The following is a 19,128-nucleotide window of genomic DNA, read 5'->3' as shown; positions in this document are numbered from 1 at the left end:
AAGACAAAACAGTTCTGGAGATGGATGCTGGTGATGGCTGTACTTAATGCCACTAATGCCACTGTACCGTACATCTAAAAATGAATAAAATGGTGAATATTACCTCATGTATATTTTACCACAATTGAAAAAATAATTTAAAAGCATTTAAAAACTCTACCATTTATAAACATTAGGGAAATAAAAAAGTTAGCAAAACATTTATTTTACAAACTCTTATTTAAAACATTGAGCATTAAAGGGATTTCCTTTTTTGTAAGAAAACTTATCAAGAGGATTTTGAGCAGGGCGTGCCCTCTTCTTGTAAGATAATGTATGATGTAAAGTACGCATCTCTGTCGTACTTTGAACTGTGACACTCCTTATGAAGTTTGGATTAGCTTCAGGGTAGCCTTTGTGCTTTCGATGTTGTGAGATCTTTCCAAGAGTTCTTTGAATGGGAAGTTTTTCTTGGCCAGTGTCACCTCCTCTGGGACATCTGCATCTTTTTTCTTACAACCTTCCTCCTTTATGTTTAATAAACTCCCCTTCACTAACTGCCTGTGGCTGCACATCCACAGTCCCTCAAATAGGGGCAGTGTCAACATTCCAGGTCAGCTATTCCTTCCATTTAGATATCATTCCAATTTCAGTTCCAGTGTTACCACTTTTTTCTTTGCTGCACTTTCATCTTTGTTGGCCAAAGTCCTCTTTCAATTATCCCTTTGAGTAAAATGTCAGTGGGTCTATCACTAGGAATGAAGGAAGCAACACAAGGACACTCTTTGCTGTCTGTGAACTGAACAACAGAGGTGCAATGACCAGTCACAGACAGACTCTGAAAGAAGTCACACGATTGGCTACTGATCATGTTACATACATAATGATTTGTGGCCTGAAAAGCTAGTGGCTACAATTACTCAAAGCTCATACACAGTAGTAACTGAAAATTGAACTGTGTTATTGGGGAACTGGTGTTACTTAACTCTGGAAACTGGAATCTGTGCATATTAGAACCAAGTAAGGCCAGGGCTGTCTGTGCATGATTACAAACTAAGGTAAGAACCCAGAGGATTCTTACAGAATGCATAGCAAACAAATGAGGCTGGAAGACCAGAGAAAGCCTCTCCAGGAAGGGAAGGTGGAGTTGAGGTTGAAGGATAAGTAGAAATTGAGTCAGCTTGGAGGAGAGATTCAACGTGCAATGAAAACCCTGTGTCAGGAGGAAGCAAAGCAAAGTCAAGAATCTGAAAGATCATGGTAACTACAAGTCAAAGAGTAAGGAAAGAACACAGCAATGGAAGACAAGGCTACCAAATGGCATAATTGGAGAAAGCACTGGTTATTTATTTTATTTATTTATTTATTGAGACAGAGTCTCACACTGTTGCCCAGGCTAGAGTACAGTGGCATGATCTCAGCTCACTGCAACCGCCGCCCCCCAGTTTCAAGTGATTCTCATGTCTCAGCCTCTCGAGTAGCTGGGATTATAGGCATGTGCCACCAGGCCCAGCGAATTTTTGTATTTTTAGCAGAGACAGGCTCTCGCCATGTTGGCCAGGCTGGTCTCAAACTCCTGGTCTCAAGTGATCCACTCGACTTCACCTTCCAACGTGCTGGGAATACAAGTGTGAGCCACTGCACCCAGCCAGCATTGATCTTTTCAATGAAGGTTAATATGGATTCTAAAGCTGGTTAAAACGAAAGCCATTGCCAATTTAAAGCTATTTTACTTTTCTGTTTTTCTACAAACCCCTGTATAAAAGGGGGAAATATGAGTCTATTTTATAGCATGAGCTAACTGGGATTTGTACAGCCACAACCTAGAAATCATACAACAAAATCATTTTAAAATACAGGTTGGGCAGCCTAACCCACAAATCTGAAACCCAAAATGCTCCAAAATCTGAAACTTTTTGAGGGCTGGCATGCTGCCACAAGTGAAAAATTCTACACCTGATCTCATGTGACGTTCACAGTCAAAATGCAGTCAAAACTTTGTTTCATGCAGAAAATTATTTAAAATATTGTACAAAATTACCTTCAAGCTCTATGCATAAAATGTATATGAAACATAAATGAATTCTGTGTTTAGACTTCGGTCCCATTCCTAAAATATCTCATTATGTATAAGCAAATATTCCAAAATCTGAAAAAATCTGAAATCCAACACATTTCCGGTCCCAAGCATTTAGGATAAGGGATACTCAATCTTCATATGAAAAAAATGAGATAAGGCAGTGACGGTCAAGGGGCAAACCAAGCAGGCCCAAGCTATGCCAGATAAATCCTGCCACAGATTTTGGTCCTAATCCTAAAAGCAATGGGAGGCTGAATTAGTTTTCTGTGGCTGTTGTAATAAATTACCATAAACCTGGTGGCTGAAAACAAGAGAAATGTATTCTCTTACAGTTCTTTAGACCAGAAGTGTGACATCAGTGTCACTGGGCTGAAATCGAGGTATCGGCAGGGCCACACTCCCTGGGGAGGCTCTAGGGGTGAGTCCCTGCCATGCCTCTTCCATCCTCTGGTGACTGGCTGCATTCGGGCTTAGGGCAGCTGTGGCTCTAATCTTCAAGGCCAATGTCTTCAAATCTTGTCTCTTGATGTTTCCATTTCGCCACCTTCTGCGTGTGTGTAAAATCTCTTTCTGCCTTCCTCTTATAAGGATACATGTGATTGCATTTAGGGCCCATCGAGATAATCCGGGATAATCCCCCATCTCAAGATCCTTAACTTAATCACATCTGCAAGGCACCTTTTATTCTTTTCCTTACAAGGTAGCACTGAGAGATTCTAGAGATTAGGAAGTAGATACCTTTTGGAGGACCATTTTTGAACCCACCACAGAGGCTGCAAAAGAGATTTTAGTGGCGAGGCATGCAATCAAGACATTAATGTTGAAGAGATCACTCTGGTGGAGGTAAAGGAAGGGCAGGGAGGATATAAGGCAGCCAGCTGAGCCAGTGCAAGTGTCCAAGTGAGAGGTGAGGGTGGCCTGGACTAGGCGGCAGTAGTAAAGATGAAGAGAAGTGGATGGATTCAACAGATACTTGAGAGGCAAAATTGGCAGACAATAAAGGTGAGAGAGGTGCCAAGAGCCTTCTAGTGTGTACAACCAGGTTTCAAGTGGTGCAGTCCACTGAGCCTGAGAGCCCCGGAAGAAGATCAGGGCTAGAAAACTGACCTGCAATCTTGCTAGGTCCACGTAATACTATTCAGCATAAAAACAGGGTTCTTTTGGAGGAACCAGCATACACTCTAGGACTGGGAGCATATCTTCCACTCACAATCTTTTTCACTTGGGTTTGGTAAACCTTAATTTTCTATGTGCAAGGTGATGGTAAAAGACTTATCCTCGGAGGACAGGCGCAGTGGCTCACGCCTGTAATCCCAGCACTTTGGGAGGCCAAGGCAGCCGGATCACTTGCAGTCAGGAGTTCGAGACCAGCCTGGCCAACATGGCGAAACCCCAGCTCTACTTAAAAAAAAAAAAAAGTAAAAAAGGTAGCCAGTTGTGGTGGCATATGCCTGTAGTCCCAGCTACTCAGGAGTCTGAGGCATGAGAATCACTTAAATGCAGGAATTGGAGGCTGCAAGTTGCCGAGATCGCACTGCCACTGCACTCCAGCCTGGGCAACAGAGTAAGACCCTGTCTCAAAAACAAAAACAAAAAGCCGGGTGCAGTGGCTCATGCCTGTAATCCCAGCACTTTGGGAGGCCGAGGCAGGCAGATCGCCTGAGGTCAGGAGTTCGAGACCAGGCTGGCCAACATGGCGAAACTGTCTCGGCTAAAAAATTAGCCGGGCGTAGTGGTGGGTGCCTATGATCCCAGCTACTCAGGAGGCTGAGTGAGGCTGGAGAATCGCTTGAACCTGGGAGGTGGAGGTTGCAGTGTGTCTAGATCATGCCACTGCACTTTAGCCTGGTGACAGAGCGAGATTCCATCTCAAAAAAAAAAAAAAAAAAAAAGGCCTATCTTTGGGGCTGTTGAGAGAATTAGGATTAAGGATGAAATACACACGACACAGTGACACACGAACAGCGTGCACCTATGACCAACTTGACCCCCATTCACTGTCACTGTTTGTCTGTGCAGGCATTTAAGCAAAGATCAACAGACTTGTATGATTACAAGAGTGTACTACTTCTAACTGTATTCAGATTCCTCTCTAGTTTTGCTTAATTCATATTCATTTATTGCTAAGTCTCAATAGTCATTAAGAGTTACTGATCTGTTCTGAAAATAATTCTTCAGATTAGTCAATTTTTAAACAGGTTTTCTCAATCTATCATTAATGTGTATCAAATATCTTCCTAACTCATCAGCAATAGTTCCTTCTCTATCTTACGTCATACAAATAAATAGGCAATTCATCTCTATTCTATGCTAATGGCACATGGAGACAGCACTGATAAGCAATTCACAAAGAGGACATCCAAACCACATTTCTCAACTAAAAAGACTTTCTAACCCATCCTTCAACAAGAACTACTTAAAAAGTAACAAAATTAATCAAGATATTTTCATTATAAACAGTACGGCGATTCCTTAAAGAACTAAAAGTAGATCTACCATTTGATGCAGCAATCTCACTACTGGGTACTCTGAGGAAAAGAAAAGAAGTCATTATATGAAAAAGACACATGTACATGCATGTTGATAGCAGCACAATTCACAACTGCAAAAATATGAAACCAGCCCAAATTTCCATCAATCAATGAATGGATAAAGAAAATGTGGTATAAATATACCATGAACTACTACTCAGCCATGAAAAGAAATGAAATAATCACATTCACAGTAACCTGGATAAAGCTGGAGACCATCATTCTAAGTGAAGTGACTCAGGAATGGAAAACCAAACATCGTATGTTCTCATTTATGTGGGGGAGCTAAGCTATGAGGACACAAAGGCATAACAATGACAATAGACTTTGGGGACTCAGCGGGGGAAGGGTGGGAGGCTGAAGGATAAAAGACCACACATTAAGTACAGTGTACACTGCTTGGGTGATAGGTACACCAAAATCTCAGGAATCACCACTAAATAACTTATCCATGTAACCAAACACTACCTGTTCCCCCAAAACTACTGAAATTTAAAAGATATTTTCATTATTTTCTCAAAGAGCTTTAAGTTATAATATGATTCCTCTATTATATGTGGCATAATCTACAAACTGCAGGAATGCTTTGAGGATTAAACACACACATCTGGCCACGTTGGTGGCTCACGCCTGTAATCCCAGCACTTTAAGAAGCCAAGGTGGGTGGATTACCTAGGTCAGGAGTTCGAGACCAACCTGGCCAACACGGAAAAACCCCGTCTTTACTAAAAATACAAAACTTAGCCACGCGTGGTGGTACACGCCTATAATCCCAGCTACTCAGGAGGCTGAGACAAGAGAATCGCTTGAACTCAGGAGGCAGAGGTTGCACTGAGCTGAGATCGCACCACTGCACTCCAGCCTGGGCAACAGAGCAAGACTCCGTCTCACACAAAAACAACAACAACAACAACAACACCACACACATCTATTTATACAAGCAACTCAAACACTAATTAATTTTAGGCAATCATTTAAAAATATTACGTAGGGGCGCGGTGGCCCATGCCTGTAATCGCAGCACTTTGGGAGGCTGAGATGGGTGGATCACCTGAGGTCAGGAGTTCGAGACTAGCCTGATCAATATGGTGAAACCCCGTCTCTACTAAAAATACAAAAATTAGCCAGGCGTGGTGGCATGTGCCTGTAGTCCCAGCTACTCAGGAGGCTGAAACAGGAGAATTGCTTGAACCCGGGAAGCAGAGGTTGCAGTGAGCCGAGATCACACCACTGCACTCCAGCCTGGGCGACAGAGCAAGACTCCATCTCAAAAAATAATAATAAACAAATAAAAATAAAAATATTACAGACTTCTCTATTTTTCAGTTAAAAGTCATTTCAAAGGGAAGCTAGAAACATTCTTCATAATAACATTTTGTGTGAACCAGTTCTCAGTAAACAACTCTGAATGTCATAGAAAATGTCCATCTTTCACTAAGGCATCTACATTTTTCTTCAGTTTTTAGTAGAGCATAGGTCAAGAAAATTTCATTTGGGTTTACATACTATTCACAGGCTTCCTTAAGTATAAATTTCTAGACTTTAGTAGAATAGCTCTTTGATGAAGTTTTGTTTTGTTTTACAAATCAACATTCTTCCATTAGGAGAAAAGATCCCAATTTCAAGTTAGCCTCAACTACTCTCTCTTATAAGCCCAGCCCAGATCCAAAATGTCACACAAGGGCTACAGAAAAACACTCAAGTATTCTCTCCTTGTCATTTTCACATTGGCAATTTCTCCAGAACAAGAATCTCTGAGATTCCACCACAGCAGGTCCTGACACTTTGGCTACACTTCTAAGTAGTTTATAAGTAGTTTAGCCATTTCCCCTATACCACGGCCCTTTCCCACCTCCTTTTTTTTTCCCCTATGCTATTTCAAGAGGAGTAATTTCTAGCTCCATTTGTAATTTTGATAACTCAAAGTAATGAGTGTCTCACCAATCATCAATACAGAAATAATCAAAAATAGATTGGGATCCACGTGGTTGACAGCTGAAGCAAATGGCATTCCAGATGTAAACAAAACTCTTTTCTGTGCAAACCTGGCTATAATGTGGAAAAAAGTCAGTAGCCCAATTCCTTCAACAACTGTAGGCCTGGAAAAGCAGCCCACCCCATGCAGCCTTGGATAGGTCAAGAGTCACATCAGGCCAGGTGCAGTGGCTCACCCTGTAATCCTAGCACTTTGGGAGGCTGAGGTGGGAGGACTGCTTGAGCTCAGGAGTTGCCTGGCCAACACAGCAAGACCTCATTTCTACTAAAAAATAAAAAAATAAAAAATTAGCCGGGTGTGGTGGCACAGGCCCGTAATCCCAGCTACTCAGGAGGCTAAGGCGGGAGGATGGTTTGAGCCTAAGAGATCAAGGCTACAGTGAGCTATGATCATGCCACGGCACTGCAGCCTGGTTGACAGAGCGAGGCCCTATCTCAAAAAAAAAAAAAAAAAAGTCACCTCAGAGATGTGTGCAGCTGATGAATTCCAACATGCTACTTTATTTTAGGCCTAAATAAAGATGCGGGTGAGCATAATTTGCAAGACAGAAAGATATCAAGTTCTTTCTTGTTCCAGATATCAGTTGCCAACACATAACTTGAGATTTTGCAATTCACCATTTGAAATTGGGGAAGAGGGGAAGCACTCAAAGCCTTGCCAGTGACTCATTCTACTGGAAGCGATCCTAGAGGCTGTGCAGCATGAATTTTAGTTTAATCCGATTACTTTTTTTTTTTCTTTTGAGATGGAGTCTCGCACAGTGGCGCGATCTCGGGTCACTGCAAGCTCTGCCTCCCGGGTTCAAGCGATTCTCCTGCCTCAGCTTCCTGAGTAGCTGGGACTACAGGCACCCACCACCACGCTCGGCTAATTTTTGTATTTTTAGTAGAGACGGGGTTTCACCATGTTGGCCAGGCTGGTCTCGAACTCCTGACCTCAAGTGACCCACCTGCCTCGGCCTCCCGAAGTGCTAGGATCACAGGTGTGAGGCACTGTGCCCAGCCGATTTCTTAATTGTTTCTCCGTCATTTAGCAAATTCAACTTGAATTTGGATTCAAAATGTCATTTTCCCTCTTTTTGTCCTGTCCTGTTAGAATAGTACCAAAGAGTTTCATTTGCAAGAGAGACAGAATGATATAAATATTTGCAAATCTGTTTATCTTTGATGCTTATTTTACGGAGTGATAACTTAATGAAGTACAACACAAAGAATGGCTGCTGCAGATGGAAGGAGGCAACAAAAGACAATAATCTGTGTGCTAAGAAGGCCAAAGTGGAAAGAGCAGCAAATAACACCCAGCTGTAGGCACTGGGAGTGAGGCACACCACGCTCAGACTCGTATCTTCCTGGAAAAGCCCCACCCAAAAGGAGTGTTATGGTGCACCTGAGCATGTAAAACAGGCTGAGCTAACATGTATTATGGGATGCAACTGATGTCATGGTTGAGGGTGAGACCAGGGAAAGCTCTGCCTATCTGTGTATCAAGGTGCCCTATAACATACTACATTATGTGGCTTTCCTTTCCCAATTACTTCTAAGTACAAGCTCAACAGAAAACCATGAAGCATCTGACCCTATTTCCTCACATTTTAGAAGCATCCCATGCTTCTAAAGACCATGGAACTTTGAGGCAACTGTGCCCTGATTCATGGAGATTTAGCCTTTGCTATTTAACTAAATTTTTGTTCGTTTAACTTGCACAACCTACTTAGCAAAAAACAAAAACAAAACTTGCTCACTTCCTGGGAAGCATATAGGCCAGTTCATACTTTGAGATTCAAAGTTAGGAAGAGTTGGGTGGGAACAGGACAGGAAAATAAAGTCACCTGGTGGCTGGAGAGACACAGTTCCTTTAAGCTAGATCCACGTGGAGTATGAAGAAGGGAAGAACCTCAGTAGTTCTCCATCCACATGGCAAGGGACAGAGAAACCTGAACTGCCATACTTTTCTGGAGCTGTTTGGGCTCTAGAAGCAATGTGTGTGTGACTGGTGTTTAGGGGCAGTGGGACCCAGGGAGCCCAACACTAGGGGCTCTTTACCTCTCAAGGGACCCTACACCTGGCCTCTGTCCTGCTGCCTGCCGTCACCAACGCAACAGAGACACTCCCTTCTCTGCCTCTCTCCTTCAGCCACAGCTGTGCCAGCCTGGGCAGCCTCTTCCCTTCCTACAGCCCCACTTTGTCTGCAGAAAGACCCTGCTATTGTGCTGTTCTAAGCAGGCTAGGGGATTCAGCCACAGAGACCAAATCTGGTCCTAAACCCTCCCACCCCAAGCTCAGCGCCTCTCAATGGAGACATTTTGCAAACCTGTTGGGCCGTTCTGGGGTGACATGATGACTGTAGTGGAATGGGACCAACGACCCAAGGCATCCTGCAATGTATGAGATCATCCAGCACACTGTCTCATGTCCCGCAAAACTTTTGAACATTTTCTGGAAGTTCACACAGATGAAAAACTGTTTATTTAGTTCTAGAATCTACCTCCATTTATGTAGAAACACAAAATATTCCTTACACTGCTTAAATACACAGTTTATCAAGATTTGTTTACAATTATGGAAAACCATGTCACCAACAGCAACACTGCTTGTGGCATCTGAGTTGTCAACAAACCGCAGCTAAACCAGTTTGCATTTGTATATCACCTGCCAATATTTAATAGGGATACTGAAAGCTCCTTTTAATGTATTTAAAGCCAAATAAATTATTGAAGATACATGAAATCCTGGATACATTTCATTAGTACATTTATTTCATTTCTGCCACCCAATATTCTTAAGGATACGTAGCATACTGAAACTTCTGTCATGAAAATGACATGTCAAAATTATTTTATTTTGGAGGCCGGGCGCAGTGGCTCATGACTGTAATCCCAGCACTTTTAGAGGCCGAGACGGTCAGATCAGTTGAGGCCAGGAGTTCAAGACCAGCCTAGCTAACATGGCAGAACCCCATCTCTACCAAAAATACAAAAATTAGCCGGGTGTGGCGGCACGCACCTGTAGACCCAGTTAATTAGGAGGCTGAGGCACGAGAATCGCCTGAACCCAGGAGTTGGAGGTTGCAGTGAGCTGAGATCATGCCACTGCACTCCAGCCTGGGAGATACAGTGAGACTGTCAAAACAAACAAACAAAAACAAACAAAAACCAACTATTTATTTTGGGTTTGAATCTTGTTTTTCAACCTTACTCTGAAACTGTCCTCAGGAGTCGGTTGCCACTCAACTATCCTATAAACATTTTTTCAATTCATCGTCTAATCCTGGACACCTATTAAAGGCAATGGTCTCTAAAGTTGTTGGTGTGCAGAGGGATTTAACGATGGGAGATATGTTTTCTGAGACACTCTGTCAGCACACATCCTATGTCTTAACACAGGAAATTAATACCATCCTGACAAAGAAGGCCTGGTTCACTGCAAAAATGTCACACTTCTTATTAAAACCACTTCAACAGCCAGTATTTTGCCTTGGCAGGTTAGGGTTATTTCCCTCCTTCCCTTAACATTTACGGGTAAATTTAGTCTGTTACTTCCTTCATTTTAAAGCATACCTGCTCTTTTCTCTCCTCCTCTGCAGCGCCTTCTCACCTTCTCCTAAATCCAAATTTCTTCATTATACAAGGGTGCAATCATCTAACTACTTCATTTTATCATCGGATAAAGGTGTGCTGAGCATTTACACTTTAAAAATATATGTAGGCCAGGCGCGGTGGCTCATGCCTGTAATCCCAGCACTTTGGGAGGCTGAGGCAGGCAGATCATTAGGTCAGACGTTCAAGACCAGCCTGACCAATATAGCGAAACCCGGTCTCTACTAAAAGTACAAAAATTAGCCTGGCGTGGTGGTACACACCTGTAGTCCCAGCTACTCGGGAGGCTGAGGCAGGAGAATTGCTTGAACCTGGGAGGTGGAGGTTGCAGTGAGCCAAGATCGGCCATTGCACTCCAGCCTGGGAGGCAAGGTGAGACTCCGTCTCAAAAAAAAAAAAAAATATATATATATATATATATATATATATATATATATGTATATATATATATATATATATATATATATACATGCATATATATATATGTAATTTTATTTGGGCATTCTATTGATTTTTAGACATTGTATGCATGAGTAGGTTATTTCATCTATCAATTTCATTTCAGGATCATAAAAGGGGAATTACAATCATAAAAGGGGAATTGTTAGCAAAAGGGGGCATTTGGTGTGACAGAGTCGAGAGTCACTGCTCTAGCAAGCTTCCCCTCCTAGCCACCAGATTCTCCCAGAGACCAGTTCTTCCTGAAATGCAGGATCTGGCTTTTGGAATCTGGCAGTTACATTTCTACTTTCTCATGCCAGGCAGGCAAATCACATCAGAGCATTATCATAGCACCACCCCCTAGGGGTACCCCAGAGCCCTGCAAGGGATCAGATGGGAGAAGCACAAGTCCCACCAGTTGGGCTGGCCTCCTTGTCACTGCACACAACACTGAGTAGAGAACAGCTCACAGAGCAGCCATCCAGAGTTACAATGCCCAGGCCAGGTGCAGCTGACACCTGTGACCTCTTTGGAAGCAGGAGACTGAGTGTCATTAGGGCCCAGCTTTCCTTGTGATGGCACTGTTGAGACCTGCATGTGGCTCAGCAGCGGCTTTGCTTCCCATCGCCCTTACTCAGCACAGGGCAGCCTGGACGTTCCAAGGCAAAGGCAGCGACGGGGCCAGGCAGGAGCTCTGGCAACTGCTTATGAGAAGCAGAACATCAATATTAGGGCCTGTCTGGAGCACCTCAAATTGGGTCAAGAGACACACCCATGCCATCAGAATGGGAGGGAGTGATGAGGAACAAGGCTTTCAGAGCTCCTACAGGGCAGCCGCCTCCTGGGCTGCACTTGCTGACTGCAAATAAAGGGGAGCTGCTATGCCTTTAACAACTTGGACCCCACATAACTCCAGCAACCTCAGGAAGGCCAGGAACACCTGGAGAGGATGTCCAGGTATTACCCAACTCTAGCATCTCAGCCCTCTCATGCAGACAGGCAGATGTGTAAACAATTTTGATGCAACACAAGTGCCGGATAAAGGTAAGGATGGGATGCCGCAGGAGTGCAGAGGAGTCATACAACCTTTTGCTAAAAATCTGAGCCGTGTCTGGAAGAGCAAGATATACCTGGCTGGATGACGTAAAATATTCCAGCACAACTAGCATGGAAGGGACAAGGGCAGCAGGACAGGAAGCAGACAGGGCCACATCACAGGACATCGGAGGCCAGGCCAGGAGGCTGGGCTTTATCCTACACAAGACTGGGAGCCACAGAGCGTCTAAAGCTTGGGGTGACATCTCCCCTGAAGACAGATCTCTCTGGGGGTTTGATGGATAGCTTCTGGGTGTCAGAGTGCAATCTGCATATTACTGAAGGAACTTGCCCCAAAATGGCTTTGACAGGACACATGTGAATCCTTTTACTGTAGAAGTTCTGTAAGAGAGGTAGATAGCACATGGTCACACCCAGACTCTGGAGCCATGCAGCCCAGTTTCAACCCCAGCACTCCCCACTACTGCTGCGAGACCCGAGTTGGGCCACTTCACATCCCAGGGCTCTTCCTCCTCCCTCTGTCTAAGGGAGATAATAAAGGCACTCCTCACAGAGCTGGCAGGGGAATTAAACAAGGAGAAAAGTTCAGGCAAGGCTGGGGCTGTGGGCTGGCTCAATGCCAGCCCACAAAGCAAAAGATGTGAGCCTTTAAAAGAATGTGTTCTCTAAGTCACATATGTAGTCATCCCTCAGTATCCATGGGGGATTGGTTCCAGGACCCCCGGCGGATACCAAATTCTGTGGATGCTCAAATCCCTGATAGAAAATGGCACAGTATTTGCATATCACCTACACACATCCTCCCATATACCTGAAATCATTATGTGTTTACATTTATCATTATGTGTTTACATTGACGTACACAAGAAAAAAAAGTCACCTAAGCCAGTGAGTTCACAGATGTTACAGCTTTGGACAAGACTAAGTGTTAAAGTGACTCTGTTTGAGGTAGATTTGAATAAAGGTATGAAGTAATGCCTCCTTGAAGGAAAGACCTGCCTCTCACCTTTGTCCTGTTCATGGCAGAAACTCTGTGAACACAGACTTTTTAAAGAGATGAACTTCCTGACTCTCTAGGGGCTTTCTCTGTAATAACTGAGTTTTCCTGTAAGACAGGGGTAACTACCTTAGATATATGTAGGCATATTTCTTGTGTTCTGAAATTATTGAGCAAGAAGGAAGAGATGGAGAAAGCAACCTCAGCTAGGGAAAAGGGTGGTGCAAACCACCAACCATCTTTACATAAGAAAAGGCCCAGCTTGGCAGGAGAATCCCTTGAACCCAGGAGGCGGAGGTTGCAGTGAGCCAAGATCGTGCCATTGCACTCTAGCCTGGGCAATGGAGCAAGACTCTGTCTCGGAAAAAAAAAAAAAAAAAAAAAAGAAGGAAAGAAAAAAAGCAAAACCCCAGCTCAATCATCAAATCCACTTCAAGGAGGCATGACTTTCTCTTCCTACACAGCAAATGCATGAATAATTTTACATAAAAACATGTATTCGCAGTCACTTGTTCAGAAACTGGAAGGCATTTTCCCCAGGTTAGCCCACAAAGGCTATTCAACCCCCAAACGGACCCACGTTACAGAATGAGCAGCGGCCTCGCGAATTTAGGGTGTTGGGAGGAGAGGACGTGCTGAAAGAGGTGCTGTGTAGGACAGGGACCAGTTCTTCCCTACCCCACCTGACTCCTTTCACAGGGTAGAGCTAGCACTAGGCAGTTTTGAAGTAGATCAATTCATCTTTGCCACACAGCCATCTACTTTTCTGTACTTTCTTGACACTCTCTCTTCTCCCTGAGTCCTTCGTAGCCTCTTCCAGTCCCACTGCTGCTGCTGGGTAAATAGGAGGATTACCCTGGGAAAGGAGACCAGGTGCAAAAATGATATTTCAGGAACTAAAACAGGCTGCGTGAAAGGTCTAGGCTCCTGAAATACCACGTTTGGGGATCTACAAGTGGTTTCGTGTAACTAGAATAGAAAGTGCTTCCATGTTTCAATATTACTTCTCTCTCCCTTTAAAAAAAAAATCCTCATCAAAACTTTATTTCACTCAATATAGCTTCTTTCAACTAAATGAGGGGAAAAAAGGTAATCTCACTCAATCGGTTAATACAATACAGTCAGCCCTCAGTATCCGCGAATTCCACAACCAGCCGCAGATCAAACATACTTGGAAAAAAAGGTTGCATTAGTACTAGATATACAGACTTTTTCCCTTGTCACTATTCCCTAACCAACACAGTATAACAACTATCTACATAGCACTTACATGATGTTAGGTATTATAAGTTACCAGACGATTTCAGGTATATGGGAGGATGTGTGTAGGTGATACGCAAATACTGCGCCATTTTCTATCAGGGATTTGAGCATCCACAGATTTTGGTATCCGCTGGGGGTCCTGGAACCAATCCCCCATGAATACTGAGGGATAACTACATATGTGACTTAGAGAACACATTCTTTTAAAGGCTCACATCTTTCGCATTGTGTATTTGTACAAGTGTTTCTTGTACACTTGTACACACTTACAGAGACTTACACTATAGCACAGGTATTTTTTTCCTGATAATTTCCTCCAAACTCTCCTATTATTCTACAGGCAGTGGCATTTTAAAAGGAATCTCAAGCCAAATGAATCTTTAATGAATATTTAATTAGGACCTTTTCAGACAGTGTAATAGTTGGGGGAAAAAAGATGCCTTTTTCCAACACACCACTGAGTTGAAGAGGATGGAAAAAGTCAACAGATGAGTTTCCTGTCTTTCCCGCCAGTTCCCTTAAACCATTTCTGCTTTTCATTTCTTCTCCTTTTCTTACATCTCTGCATCTGTGGACTCTCCTATCGTCTCCAGGAGCAAGGCAGAGACACATTCTTGTCTGTGAGCAGATGACTTGTCTAGAAATCATGGACAGCCTGCAAGTCCTTCCAGTCCTCCCAAGAATCTGACATGGTTTTAGGCAGAGAAGAGGCTCAGAGGCCTGCTGACTCAACATCTCTTACAAGCGCCTTTGAGTTTCTCCAGGAAGCGCTGAGGTTTTCTCAGAAGTCAAAAAACTTTTTCTGTAAAAGGCCAGAGAGTAGATATTTTAGGCTTTGCATGCCATATGGTCTCTGACACTACTCATTTCTGCAGGTGTAGTGCACAAGCAACCACAGACCACACATAACCAAATGAGCATGGCTGTGTCTCAAAACTTTATTTACAAAAGCTGGTGTCAGGCTAGAATTGGCCCACGGGCCATAGTTTACCAACTCCTGGATTATATGGAACCATCTGTATGGTAACACTGGCTCTGCAATCAACATGCTCACAAAATGAGGCCACAGATCCTATGGCTTTCTCATATGGCTTTGTCACATGCGCCAAAAACTGTGTTAAACAATTTAGGGTCCATACATTCCTTTGATGTACACTCACATTACTTACTATACATTTTTCTTGCTTTTTAATACATTTTCGCCATTTTATAGTTTAAAATGGAAAAGGAAGTGTCACAATTCATAGCAACTATGTACCAATAAACATTCATAGTAACGATACATGTTTCCTATTTTAGTTGACCATGAGTAAGTAGGACTCTTTAAAATATCTACAGCCAGAAACTGGTAGTAGCCCTGGCAGAGGTAAAGACTGCAGAAGTCTTAGGATCAAAAAGAATGCCAAGAGTTAAAGCGGGAGATGGGCTGGTAACCTCAAGAGGGGAGGAGGGAGGCTCAGCATCAGGGCAGCAGAAATAAGAACTGCGAAGCTCATTTGGGTCAGAAGCTCCAAACGTCTCACGCTCCTCAGGCCTCCATGTGCTTCATTACTGCCAGTCCTCTGTTAAAAAGTAATATGTCAAGCCATAAAGAGAAAAAAGGTGGTGACGTTAGGATCCTGAAGTCCCAAGGAGCCAACGGTGAATTATGGCTGTGACAGCCACGCTGTGGACAATGGTCATGGTGAAAAGTGAGTTGACGAGACACCCAGTAGCAAAGTAAACCTGAGGAAAGCACCGACCATGGGAAACATGGACTGACCAGTGGTAGGAAGAAAATAAGTGCAGAACAAGCCATCCAGTGCAACGGCCTAGCAACACTTGTGAGCCTGCAGTTCTGACCACTCTTTTCCCAATGTCATTTCATGTCTCCACGTGGGTTTTTCCGCTGTTTCCTCTCCTAGGTTTCCGTTTAAACCTCACCACCTCTCACATTCTCCTTTTCTCCTTGCCCCGCCCCTCCCAACTCCTCATTCAACTGATTCTCTTCTACCCCATCATAATGCTCAGGCATCATTTCCTCCACAAAACTGTCCTTCAGGCTGAGTTAGACGCTGCTTCTCTTTTCTTCCACAGGCTCCAGGGGACCATGCGTATGTCTCCCAGCCTCCCTATCACCATCAGCTTTACCTACACCTACATTGCAGCACCGAAATATCTAGCACATGTCTTTGGCACCTAACCCACAGCCTGTCTTATGTGCCTGAGCAACTAAAGGTCTGAGTGCACGTCACATATGCAAACAGTGAGTGAGGAAGGGAATGAGTGTGTGTGTGTGGAGGGGGAGCGACTGCTGCTAGACTAGAGCACTGGGCACTAAGACCAAGATCAGGAACTTGACTTCAGGTGGTCAAGATCACGAACTTACAAACACATGGACTTGGGTTCAAAGCAGAAGCGCCCTCCAGCAGGACAAATCTATCCTAACCTTTGGGAAAACACCTCAAAGTGCATAATGGTGGCTCAGCACCACCAAAGGGCAGTTTGTTGCTACATTATTACTATACTTCCAATAGAAAGGCAGCTACAGTTTCAAATCCCAACCAGGGAGCTGCCCTATATTCCAAAAGAAGGCTTCTAACTGTGCATATATTTCTAATTCCTATATGCATAATATCTGAATTATACAATCCAGACTTGCCACGAATTCAAGAGTGGCCTTCAGGATAATCTGTTTCTACAAAGTAACCATTTCTCATCAGGCAGCTGTTGATAAACTTTCACCATTCTAGTAAGGTGGCATGAGAAAATGACCTTCTTGCTTTAATAAAAAATATTGTTACACTAGATACAAAATACGTTTCTACTGTTAAATTGTAACAATAAGACTCTGGAAGGTTTACTAGTAGAGGAAGGGTGTCCCCCTGTGATAAACAATCATTAAAAAAGGAGACAGAGAGGGTAATTTGCCTATCCCTGTTATGTAGATAAAATGAGCCAGGGGGGTGCTCCTCAAACATTTATCAAGTCACTGCTGAGCCTTCAGCAGGCCATTTAACTTTGGAACAGAAAGGGAAGTTTCCCAATGCATAACAGAGTCTTAAATCCTTCATACGTAATACGTAAGATGAACTTTAAATAGAAAAGCTACCTGCACACAGGACATTGTGTCTTGTACTCGAACTATGCAGTCAAGAAGAAAACACAATACTAGCGGGGAAGGCACCACGTACAGAAGCTAGCTAGAGTTTATTGAGTGCTTACACTTAGTCGGGGCCATGGATTATTTCTTTTCATTCTAACCACCACACGATAATGTGGGTACTCTTACTGTTACTCCTATTTTATAGATAAGGAAGCAAATTTTGAGAAACCAAAGTCAGCAGCCACAAAATGGCAAAAGACTGGAACCCAGGTTGCAGGACTCTGGTCCATGATCACACCTGTATGCAACCGTGCTTTCCAAAACATACATCAGAAGCACCTTTTGGGAGGGGGGAAGAACGCAATGATTGTCCACACCACAAACAAATCAGATGGAGCCAAGGAAAGCTGATAGGATGATACCATCTCTGTCTACCTGTCTTTTTCCCTCCCACCATCTCTAAAAAAGGCTTTTTAACATTGCTGGAAAATAAGGTCTCAGAGCAGATGACAAATTATCATAAATTTAGTGAGGGAAGCAGAATGGTAAAATGAAAAGAGTCCTTGATTTAGAACTATAGTGTTTGTGTCCTGGTCCACAGTAAAAACTAAGTCTCATGTCCCTCGTTACAAAACTGTCATGATAAGATACACCTCACTCTTTTGTTGTCATGAGAATAGTGAGAATATATAAGGGAATGTGTCTAGCACTGTGCTTGGCAGAAAAGAGGTACTACAGTTTTCCCTGCCTTATCTTCAGTTCCCATTTCAAAATACAAGCAGACAGCACCTAGCTATACAAGGTAAATATTCCCTGGACACCTCCAACGCACTCACCCACAGAGAAGTATCTTTGAAGGGGCATCTCTCTGCTGTTGCTGGGAGAGAGTTTTCCAACCACTCATATACTGCCTTCTATTAACAGTGCATAAAATTTCTTAGATAGTGCAAAAATTTCATGCTTTCAATGTAAAGGTAGTATTTTCGCCTACTAAAGAAGGGTTAAAAAAGACCATTAAAATAAATATCACAGGAGACTTCAAAGCAAGAAGTACTTAAACATGCAAGTACCTAAATCATCAACTAAAAAGGGTAAATTTGACTCTACAACTATCTCCATCCTTCTCTCATACGACACAAACTGGTAGTCTAAAAAAGGAATCATAGCACGGTACAGGAAATATTCACACCTTTTTTCCTGAGGGCTTCTTAAAAACTACAAAAGAGAAATTGTGTGACAAGTAAACCTTTTAAATCCCCCATCAACAGCCTTTGATGAAACTCCATCTTGAAACCAGACCTGTATGCTTTAAAAATGAAATGTTCTAAGTAAAGCGAAGTTGTTTTTACTTTCAGACCAAAGGGGGGAAAAAATCACCGATTTAAAAGTAAAAGGGCTTTAGTGAAAAGTTCACAGTTGTGAGATACTTGCTTCGCCATTAAGAAGGTGGAAGCTCTGCTGGGTAGAAACCACCATTCTCTGAGGTCTGAGACTTTAGGCATTCTCATTCTTACAGACTCTGTCTCCCGGTCACAGTTGTACATTGGTCCTCTCATTCCAACCAAACTACAGGGTCTCCATAGCGTGAAGCATGTGGTCCTTAAACGTGTTGGGGAAAGCTGCTAATCAACGTCCTTAAGGCTCGTCAACAATCAGACGGCAAATCACAAACTTGCTTCCTCAACCCGAGAACAAACACTCCAGGTCCCCAAAGAAATGAAGGTTCCTTCCACTCCCACAGGAAAACTACCAGGTTTCAGTTCTTTCGCTTTATTTTTTAAAAGACAAATAAAAAATTAACTGAACACACGTGTTTTCCTACCATTCTCATACTTTTTAAAAATCCCTCCATTTTCTTCCTTCCTTTATTTACGTTGGAAAAATTCTTAATAAATAACGCCTGCTTGAAAGACATCAGGAACTCATTTTGAGGACTGAGTTTGCAGAAGACAAGGCAGAGAGATGAGTGGGCAGAGTTGAGCTGAAATTTTTAAATTCCTGCACGGCAAAGCAATTGTGCGTATCTGTTTTCAAACAATAAAAGCGTCTGGAATTGCACAATGTTGCAGAGCCATGCGAGGCGCGAGGAGCAGGCAGCCGGAGGG

At 43.1% G+C, this 19,128-nt stretch overlaps 1 protein-coding gene across 8 annotated transcripts in view, besides 3 other annotated features; it reads right to left on the bottom strand.

Moving 5' to 3' along the window:
* TTC39C (tetratricopeptide repeat domain 39C) overlaps nt 1-19,128 on the bottom strand; it is a 142,714-nt gene that overhangs the window by 101,001 nt on the left and 22,585 nt on the right. The window contains exons 2-5 of one of the 8 annotated variants that reach the window (XM_047437297.1): nt 18,846-19,047; nt 17,860-18,013; nt 14,497-14,740; nt 11,753-12,059 (exon numbers count right to left, since the gene is read on the bottom strand). The exons of 4 other annotated variants lie outside the window; for them this stretch is intronic. Coding sequence is in view for 2 of the 4 variants with exons in the window: in XM_047437296.1 (XP_047293252.1) it covers nt 17,860-17,927 (68 nt within the window). In the remaining 2 variants the exon portion in view is untranslated. Of the gene's footprint in view, nt 1-11,752; nt 12,060-14,311; nt 14,741-17,859; nt 18,014-18,845; nt 19,048-19,128 lie in introns of those variants that run through there. 3 more of the 8 variants (XM_047437298.1, XM_047437296.1, NM_001243425.2) reach the window with 3 other exon arrangements.
* Nucleotides 737-786: an enhancer, noted in NCBI's record as "active region_13170". NCBI's record gives its function as "activates an Ori minimal core promoter by ATAC-STARR-seq in GM12878 lymphoblastoid cells {active_cell/tissue: GM12878}" and the evidence as "EXISTENCE:reporter gene assay evidence [ECO:0000049][PMID:35858748]".
* Nucleotides 14,443-14,532: an enhancer, noted in NCBI's record as "active region_13169". NCBI's record gives its function as "activates an Ori minimal core promoter by ATAC-STARR-seq in GM12878 lymphoblastoid cells {active_cell/tissue: GM12878}" and the evidence as "EXISTENCE:reporter gene assay evidence [ECO:0000049][PMID:35858748]".
* Nucleotides 14,553-14,602: an enhancer, noted in NCBI's record as "active region_13168". NCBI's record gives its function as "activates an Ori minimal core promoter by ATAC-STARR-seq in GM12878 lymphoblastoid cells {active_cell/tissue: GM12878}" and the evidence as "EXISTENCE:reporter gene assay evidence [ECO:0000049][PMID:35858748]".

This window comes from Homo sapiens, chromosome 18 (assembly GCF_000001405.40).
Source record: "Homo sapiens chromosome 18, GRCh38.p14 Primary Assembly".
NCBI lineage: Eukaryota > Metazoa > Chordata > Mammalia > Primates > Hominidae > Homo > Homo sapiens.
This window is presented reverse-complemented; position numbering and strand designations above follow the sequence as displayed.